Raw genomic sequence first — 8,548 nt, forward strand, 5'->3', positions numbered from 1 at the left:
ACATGTGGAAATATATCTGCAGAATAAATTTCTAGAGGTAGAGTTGCTGAGTCAAATTTAAAGGCAAAGAGTCTTTAAACTCTTCATAGATATTGCTAATTTTTATCCATAGATGTTATACAAATATACTTCCCCTCAGCAATGTTTATCCATACCCTTTCCAATACTAAGGGAACCCTTTCTTGTACAAGAGAAAAAGAAAGAAAGAAAAATCAATCTAATTTGCTTATAGGCACCTAAAGATTTTTTTTTTTTTGGCCTTGCCCAGAAGTTATGCATTTCAGTGAACCCTACCCTCACCATCCCCATTTCCTGGAATAATATTAATACTACTTTCCAACTGAAACTCTGAGATCACATTCTTTCTTTTCTATTTTATATAATACTGGCCTACTTTATATATGACTGGGATGGAGGTTGTTCATTCTGCTCATCTGTGTATTATGCAAATTTGCCTCCAAGCAGATTGGCCTCTTGCAACCCTGGTGAGAGGTGACAGCATGCTGGCAGTCCTCAGAGCCCTCGCTTGCACCTCCCCTGCCTGGGCTCCCACTTTGGCGGCATTTGAGGAGCCCTTCAGCCCCCACCTGCACTGTGGGAGCCCCTTTCTGGGCTGGCCAAGGCTGGAGCCCACTCCCTCAGCTTGCAGGGAGGTGTGGAGGGAGAGGCGCGAGCGGGAACCGGGGCTGCGTGCGGCGCTTGCGGGCCAGCTGGAGTTCCGGGTGGGCGTGGGCTTGGCGGCCCCGCACTCAGAGCAGCCAGCCAGCCCCGCTGGCCCCGAGGAATGAGGGACTTAGCACCCGGGCCAGTGGCTGCGGAGAGTGTACTGGATCCCCCAGCAGTGCCGGCCCACCGGCGCTGTGCTCGATTTCTCGCCGGGCCTTAGCTGCCTTCCCGCGGGGCAGGGCTTGGGACCTGCAGCCCGCCATGCCTGAGCCTCCCACCCACTCCATGGGCTCCTGTGCTGCCCGAGCCTCCCCGACGAGCACCACCCCCTGCTCCACGGCGCCCAGTCCCAACGACCACCCAAGGGCTGACGAATGCGAGCGCACGGCGCAGGACTGGCAGGCAGCTCCACCTGCAGCCCTGGTGCAGGATCCACTAGGTGAAGCCAGCTGGGCTCCTGAGTCTGGTGGGGACGTGGAGAACCTTTGTATCTAGTTCAGGGATTGTAAACGCACCAATCAGCGCCCTGACAAAACAGGCCACTGGGCTCTACCAATCAGCAGGATGTGGGTGGGGCCAGATAAGAGAATAAAAGCAGGCTGCCGGAGGCAGCATTGGCAACCCACTCGGGTCCCCTTCTGCACCGTGGAAGTTTTGTTCTTTCACTCTTTGCAATAAATCTTGCTACTGCTCACTCTTTGGGTCCACGCCGCTTTTATGAGCTGTAACACTCAGTGCGAAGATCTGCAGCTTCACTCCTGAGCCCAGCGAGACCACGAGCCCATGGAGAGGAACAAACAACTCCAGACGCGCTGCGTTAAGAGCTGTAACATTCACCGCGAAGGTCTGCAGCTTCACTCCTGAGCCAGCGAGACCAGGAACCCACCAGAAAGAAGAAGCTCCGAACACATCTGAACATCAGAAGGGAGAGACTCCAGACGCGTCATCTTAAGAGCTGTAACACTCACGGCGAAGGTCTGCAGCTTCACTCCTGAGCCAACGAGACCACGAACCCACCAGAAGGAAGAAACTCCGAACACATCTGAACATCAGAAGGGACAGACTCCAGACGCACCACCTTAAGAGCTGTAACACTCACCGCGAGGGTCCGCGGCTTCATTCTTGAAGTCAGTGAGACCAAGAACCCACCAATTCCGGACACACTGGGTCACTTTCTGACTGCACTTTCTTGAAGTATTCGTCTTTGGTCCTGTGGTAGTACCCAGTGGACAACCTCACTTGCCTGTAAACTACTTCCTTGAGGTATTTTCCCTAACAACGTGAAATACATTCCATTTCTCTGCTTGCTCTTTTCATGACTCTCATTTCAATGGTCCTTAGAAAACACTTTTTTTGATTATTATTCAGCTTTGTAATACTTATTTCTTCAGTTCCCCATCCATAAAGTCTTTGATTTAGAGGTCAAATCTGTTTTGCTTTACTATTCCTATCTAAAGCTTGAAAGTATGGTAATTAATAAAAACATTCCACATGTTAAATTAGCTTTAATGTTAGCTTTAAAAGAAGATAGCAGTTAATCAGTCTTGATGACGTAGAGGTTGACAGGTAGAAGGATCCTAAAATTTAATTCCTGGGCTGCTAACTTCAAATCTCATCTGTATCAACAGTTTTCTCACTTAAGTCATTAACATCGAAAATTATTTTATTAAATGATTTATAATTGGGAGAGTACTATTTCTCTTTCTCCCCACCTCCAGTTATGAGAAGATACTTATTCCCAGCTTTTTCTGGGTAGAGCTATTCAATTTTTTTTTTTTTTTTTTTTTTTTTTTTTTTTTTTTTTTTGAGATGGAGTTTCACTCTTGTTACCTAGGCTGGAGTGCAATGCTGCAAAATCTGCTCACTGCAACCTCCACCTCCCAGGTTCAAGCGAGTCTCCTGCCTCAGCTTCTGGGGTAGCTGAGATTACAGGTAAGTGCCCCCACGCCCAGCTAATTTTTGTATTTTTAGAAGAGATGGGGTTTCACCATATTAGTCAGGCTGATCTCGAACTCCTGACCTCATGTGATCCACCCGCTTCTGCCTTCCAAAGTGCTGGGATTGCAGGCGTGAACCACCGCATCCAGCCCAATTTGTTTTTTAAATCTTTTTGGCACTCTACCAAATCACGAAGGCTCTTCTTAGTTAGGGGAACAGAAGGGATTTAGTCTTAATAAATTTTTCTCCATGCCATGGGGAAGACTCTCTCAGAAGGTAGCATCTAGAACAGAACATTGAAAAGTTTATAAACAACACCAGTACTTCATACTTTTGTTTTATCTTCCCTTTGAGATAGACGTTTAGTCCTTTACTGTTATTACCTAGCACAATATCTGGCACACAGTAGGTGGCCACTGATTATTTCTTGAATGAAGTAAGGAATGAGAATATTACCTACAGAGTTAGAGCTCTGCGCATTACTTCCTTCCAGATTTCATACATCTTTTTTTAGTAATGAATGCAAACAGGCTCTGGGGCAGCTACATTATCCTTCTGAATCAAGACAGGGATTTCGCAATGCTTATTTTCAATTTCTTCAGAAATGCCTTAAAGATATTAATGGAGGTAACAACTTAATCTCAAATAGTAATCCATAGACAGAATATGTAACAGCAATGTTCTCTGATCTGTTCTTTGGCTTCTATTCCCTAGAGAAATAGTTCTCTAAGACCAAACAGTCTATAGATAGAATTGTAGCAACAGTCAATTATGATGTTAGCTATTTGAGAGACGGTTGAGAATTCAGAAAAAACTACTGAAATGTTGTAAGACAACTCACTCAAAGAACAGTTCAAATAGTGGAAAAGGGAAATGATGATGTATCCATTTATTTTGTTCTATTTTTTCCAATTTCATAGGATAGCAAATGCTGCCCATTTATTTATTTTTTTATTTTTCATAAGTTATTGGGGTACAGGTGGTGTTTGGTTACATGAGTAAGTTCTTTAGTGGTGACTTGTGAGATATGGGTTCACCCTTCACCTGAGTAGGATACACTGAACCATATTTGTAGTCTTTTATCCCTCGCCCCCTCCATCTCTTCCCCGTAAGTCTCCAAAGTCCATTGTATCATTCTTATGCCTTTGCATTCTCATAGCTTAGCTCCCACATATCAGTGAGAACATACAATGCTTGGTTTTCCATTCCTGAGGTAGTTCACTTAGAATAGTAGTCTCCATTCTCATCCAGGCCACTGCAAATGCTGTTAATTCATTCCTTTTCATGGCTGTGTAGTATTCCATTATATATATATATATATACCACAGTTTCTTTATACACTCATTGATTGATGGGCTTTTGGGTTAGTTGCACGATTTTGCTATTGTGAATTGTGCTGCTATAAACATGCGTATGCAAGTATCTTTTCCAAATAATGATTCCTTTTCCTTTGGGTAGAAACCCAGTAGTGGGATTGCTGGATCAAATGGTAGTTCTACTTTTAGTTCTTTAAGGAATCTCCACACTGTTTTCCATAGTAGCTGTACTTGTTTACATTCCCACCAGTGGTGTAAAGGTGTTCCCTGCTCACCACACCCATGCCAACATCTACTGTTTTTTGATTTTTTGATTATGGCCATTCTTGCAGGAGTATAGCATTGTGGTTTTGATTTGCATTTCTCTGATCATTAGTGATGTTGAGCATTTTTTCATGTTTGTTGGTCAGTTGTATATCTTCTTTTGAGAATTGTCTTTTCATGTCCTTAGCCCACTTTTTGATGAAATTGTTTGTTTTTTTTTCTTACAGATTTGTTTGAGTTCATTGTAGATTCTGGATATCAGTCCTTTGTCAGACGCATAGATTGTGAAGGTTTTCTCCCACTCTGTGGGTTGTCTATTTACTCTGCTGACTGTTCCTTTTGCTGTGGAAAAACTCTTTAGTTTAACTGGGTCCCAGCTACGTACCTTTGATTTTATTGCATTTGCATTTTGGTTCTTGGTCATGAAATCCTTGCCTAGTCAATGTCTAGAAGGGTTTTTCCAATGTTATCGTCTAGAATTTTTATAGTTTCAGGTCTTAGGTTTAAGTCCTTAATCCATCTTGAGTTGATTTTTGTATAAGGTGAGAGATGAGGATCCAGTTTCATTCTCCTATTATGTGGCTAGCCAATTATCCCAGCAACATTTGTTTAAAAGGGTGTCCTTTCCCCGTTTTATATTTTTGTTCGCTGTGTCAAAGATCAGTTGGCTGTAAGTATTTGGGTTTATTTCTGAGTTCTCTGTTCTGTTCCATCAGTCTATGTGCCTATTTTTATACTAGTACATGCTGTTTTGGTGACTGTGCCTTTATAGTATAGTTTGAAAGCAGGTAGCATGATGCCTCCACATTTGTTCTTTTTGCTTAGTCTTACTTTGGCTGTGCAGGCTCTTTTTTGGTTTCATATGAATTTTAGAATTGTTTTTTCTAATTCTGTGAAGAATGATGGTGGTATTTTGATGGGGATTGCATTGAATTTGTAGATTTTTTTGGCGGTATGGTCATTTTCACAATATTGATTCTGCTCATCCATGAGCATGGGATATGTTTCCATTTGTATGTTGTCTATTATTTGTTTCAGCAGTGTTTTGTAGTTTTTCTTGTAGAGGTCTTTTGACTCCCTGGTAAGGCATATTCCTAAGTATTTGATTTGATTTGATTTTTTTTTTTTTTTTTTTGCCGCTACTGTAAAAGGGGTTAAGTTCTTGATTTGATTTTCTGCTTGGTCGCTGTTTGTGTATAGAAGAGCTACTGATTTGTATACACTAATCTTGTATCCAGAAACTTTGCTGAATTCTTTTATCAATTCTAGTAGCTTTCTGGAGGAGTCCTTAGGGTTTTCAAGGTAAACGATCATATCATCAGCAAACAGTGACAGTTTGACTTCCTTTTTACTGATTTGGATACCCTTTTTATTTTTCTCTCTCATCTGATTGCTCTGGCTAGAACTTCCAGTACTATGTTGAAGAGGAGTGGTGAGAGTGGGCATCCTTGTTCCAGTTTTCAGAGGAAATGCTTTCAACTTTTCCCATTCAGTATTATGTTGGCTGTGGGTTTTCATAGATGGCTTTTATTACATTAAGGTATGTCCCTTGTATGCCAATTTTGCTGAGAGTTTTAATCATAACAGGATGCTGAATTTTGTCAAATGCTTTTTCTGCATCTATTGAGATGATCATGTGATGTTTTGTTTTTAATTCTGTTTTCGTGGTGTATCACATATGTTAAATCATCCCTACATTCCTGGTATGAAACCCACTTGATCATGTCATGGTGGATTATTTTTTGATATGTTGTTGGATTCTGTTAGCTAGTATTTTGTTAAGGATTTTAGCATCAATGCCCAACAAGGATATCAATCTGTAGTTTTTAAATGTGCTTTTCTGGACCGGCACGGTGGCTAAGGCCTGTAATCCCAACACTTTGGGAGGTCGAGGAGGGCGGACCACTTGAGGTCAGGAGTTCGAGATCAGCCTGGCCAAAATGGTGAAAATCCGTCTCTACTAAAAAGGTGTTGTGGCGGGCGCCTGTAATCTCAGCTACTGAGGAGGCTGAGGCAGGAGAATCGCTTGCACCCGGGAGGCGGAGGTTGCAGTGAGCCGAGATCGCACCACTGCACTCCAGCCTGGGCGACAGAGAAAGACTCCGTCTCAAAAAAAAAAAAAAAAAAAAAAAAGTTGTTTTCTGCTATTTCCTGAACTTTATTACGTAAATGAGACACGTGAGATCTGGAAGGAGGTGGAGGTGAAGACCCTCCCACCTGGCCTGCATCCAGAGTACTTGGGGTGTGGCACTGGCGTGGGCCCCAGGAAGGATCCCAGCCAGTTTTGGTGCTGGAGGCCCGGCCAAAGGAAGGGCTGCTCTCCCGTCCCGCGGGCTCCGAGGTCGCCGCACCCGGGCGCGCCTGGGCCTCGTCACCCGCGCTCGTGACGCGTGCTTACAAAGGAAACTTTTACAGGTTTCGGTGGGCAGGGCCTTTTATTGCCCTTCTGCTCCACAGCCCCCGTGCTTAATCGGTTGGTTGGGAGGTTTCTTTCGTCCGTGGTTTTGGAAAGTCCCCGCCTCCAAACCGCAGTCCCGCAGTCAGTTCTGCAGCCTCAGGGCCTCGAACAGCCATGCTTAGAATCCGTCCTTCTTTCCTGCTCCATCTACCCTTCCCCTCTGGCTTCTTTTTTTTCACTGGAGAAAGCCCACCCGAGTCTCTCAGCCTGCTTCGGAGGTTACTGCGGCCTCCTCCACGGGTAGTTCTGGGACCCGGGTCTAGTCCGCGGTTCCGGAGCAGGTCCCTCCCTGGAGTCGTCAGGCCCAGTATGCGTGTGCTCAGTGTGCTCGGGAAACACGCGTGGGCTTTAACAGCAGATCTCCATAAAAGGGTCCCGGAGATAGCCTCTGCCTGGCCCGAGGCCCAGTGCCTCAAAGCGGACGCCTTTGCGCTCCCGGAGGTGCTCACACCACAGCGGAGCCTGCTGGCGAGTGGAGCGTAGGACTGCGAACCAGCAATCTCCCGAGAAGCGGCGAGGGGGAGGGGAATGTCTGTGAATCGGTTATCCCTCCCACCCCCAGCAGAAGTCGGGGAAATGGGGGTGGAAGGGGGAAAAAGGGAGAGAACAGGAGTGGGGTTGAGGAAGGGTAAGGAGGAAGGTGAGCTTCCTACAGCTGCGGGGGAAGGTGGAGAAAATTTTCAGGGGGACAGCTGAGTGGTAGAGCTAGCGAGCTTCAGAGAAATGTTGACAGACAGATGCCCAGAAAGTGAGGATGCCGGGCATGGGCACTGCGTACCAGGCACAGGAGATATATGGAGGCAGGAAATTGGCACATCATAAGCATTTGACCATCCTGCCCTAAAACAAAACAAATTGAACAACAACAACAACAAAAGATAATAGCAAAAGTGGCACAGTAGTGAGCTCGCAGGGCCCATTCCTATATAGAAACACAGAAAAATAAGCAAAAGCTGCCAGAATTGACTTCGTGGGAACTCTGGGAAACAGTAAGAAAGTTTTACAGCAACCAAGTGAGTGCTGAACCAAGGCAAAGGTAACTGAAACGCAATGATAGAGAAGAGGGGCAGGGAAGTGTTGGGTAGACAAAGGCGGGTCCCTGGTAAGGGCCCTCCCCTGGGCCTGTGCCCACTGGACCTAGGTGAGGACAGGCACTCCTTCCTTCACGCCCAAATGTTGCATATCCCAAGACCACCCTGTCCCGCCACGCCCCCATCCTTTGCCTATGAAAACCCTGAGACCCTAGCAGGCAGACACACAAGCGGCTCTATGTCCAGAGGAACTCATCGGAGGAACTGGACGTGGAGCGGGGCACCCCAGCGGAAGGGAGCACGCCAGTGGAAGAGCACACTGACAGACCATAGGAGTCAGTCTGTTATATTATCATAGTATAATATTATAAAATTATTATAATACAATAAAAATATAAAAATATAAATAATGTAATAAATATGGATAAAAATAATAATTACATATTTATATTTATATGAGAACACTATGAATAATTTTAAGCCAAAAAACAACTCGATGTTCATCACTGGATGAGTAGACGAGCAATTTCCAGTATATTCATACAATGGAATATGATTCAGCCATAAAATGAAATGAGGTACTGATACATGCTGCAGCAGGAATGAACCCCCAAAACACTACACTTGGTGAAAGAAGCCAGACACGGAAGGTCACATATTGTATGATCCCATTTATAAGAAATATTCAGAATAGGTAAATCCATAGAGACAAAAGGAGTTTTGTAGTTGCCAGGAGTTGGAGGCAAGAAGAGTTTAACAGGTATGCTTAATGGGGCCTCCTATGCAGTTGACGAAAATGTTTTGGGCTAGATAGGAGTGATGGTTGCATAACATTGTACTAAATGCCACTGAATTCTACTCTTTAAAATTTTTAG

At 44.5% G+C, this 8,548-nt stretch overlaps 4 annotated features.

The window, feature by feature from the left end:
* Window positions 1,199-1,343: an enhancer, noted in NCBI's record as "145 bp 9:21959860 sequence used in MPRA reporter constructs". NCBI's record gives its function as "activates a minimal TATA-containing promoter with rs3948753 allelic activity by MPRAs in C283T melanocytes and UACC903 melanoma cells {active_cell/tissue: C283T | UACC903}" and the evidence as "EXISTENCE:reporter gene assay evidence [ECO:0000049][PMID:36423637]".
* Window position 1,271: a transcriptional cis regulatory region, noted in NCBI's record as "rs3948753 or 9:21959860 MPRA-significant variant associated with a GWAS melanoma risk locus at 9p21.3". NCBI's record gives its function as "allelic transcriptional activity by MPRAs in C283T melanocytes and UACC903 melanoma cells {active_cell/tissue: C283T | UACC903}" and the evidence as "EXISTENCE:reporter gene assay evidence [ECO:0000049][PMID:36423637]".
* Window positions 4,319-4,463: an enhancer, noted in NCBI's record as "145 bp 9:21962977 sequence used in MPRA reporter constructs". NCBI's record gives its function as "activates a minimal TATA-containing promoter with rs140239752 allelic activity by MPRAs in C283T melanocytes {active_cell/tissue: C283T}" and the evidence as "EXISTENCE:reporter gene assay evidence [ECO:0000049][PMID:36423637]".
* Window positions 4,389-4,391: a transcriptional cis regulatory region, noted in NCBI's record as "rs145546943 (now merged into rs140239752) or 9:21962977 MPRA-significant variant associated with a GWAS melanoma risk locus at 9p21.3". NCBI's record gives its function as "allelic transcriptional activity by MPRAs in C283T melanocytes {active_cell/tissue: C283T}" and the evidence as "EXISTENCE:reporter gene assay evidence [ECO:0000049][PMID:36423637]".

Source organism: Homo sapiens, chromosome 9 (assembly GCF_000001405.40).
Source record: "Homo sapiens chromosome 9, GRCh38.p14 Primary Assembly".
NCBI classification, from domain to species: Eukaryota; Metazoa; Chordata; class Mammalia; order Primates; family Hominidae; genus Homo; species Homo sapiens.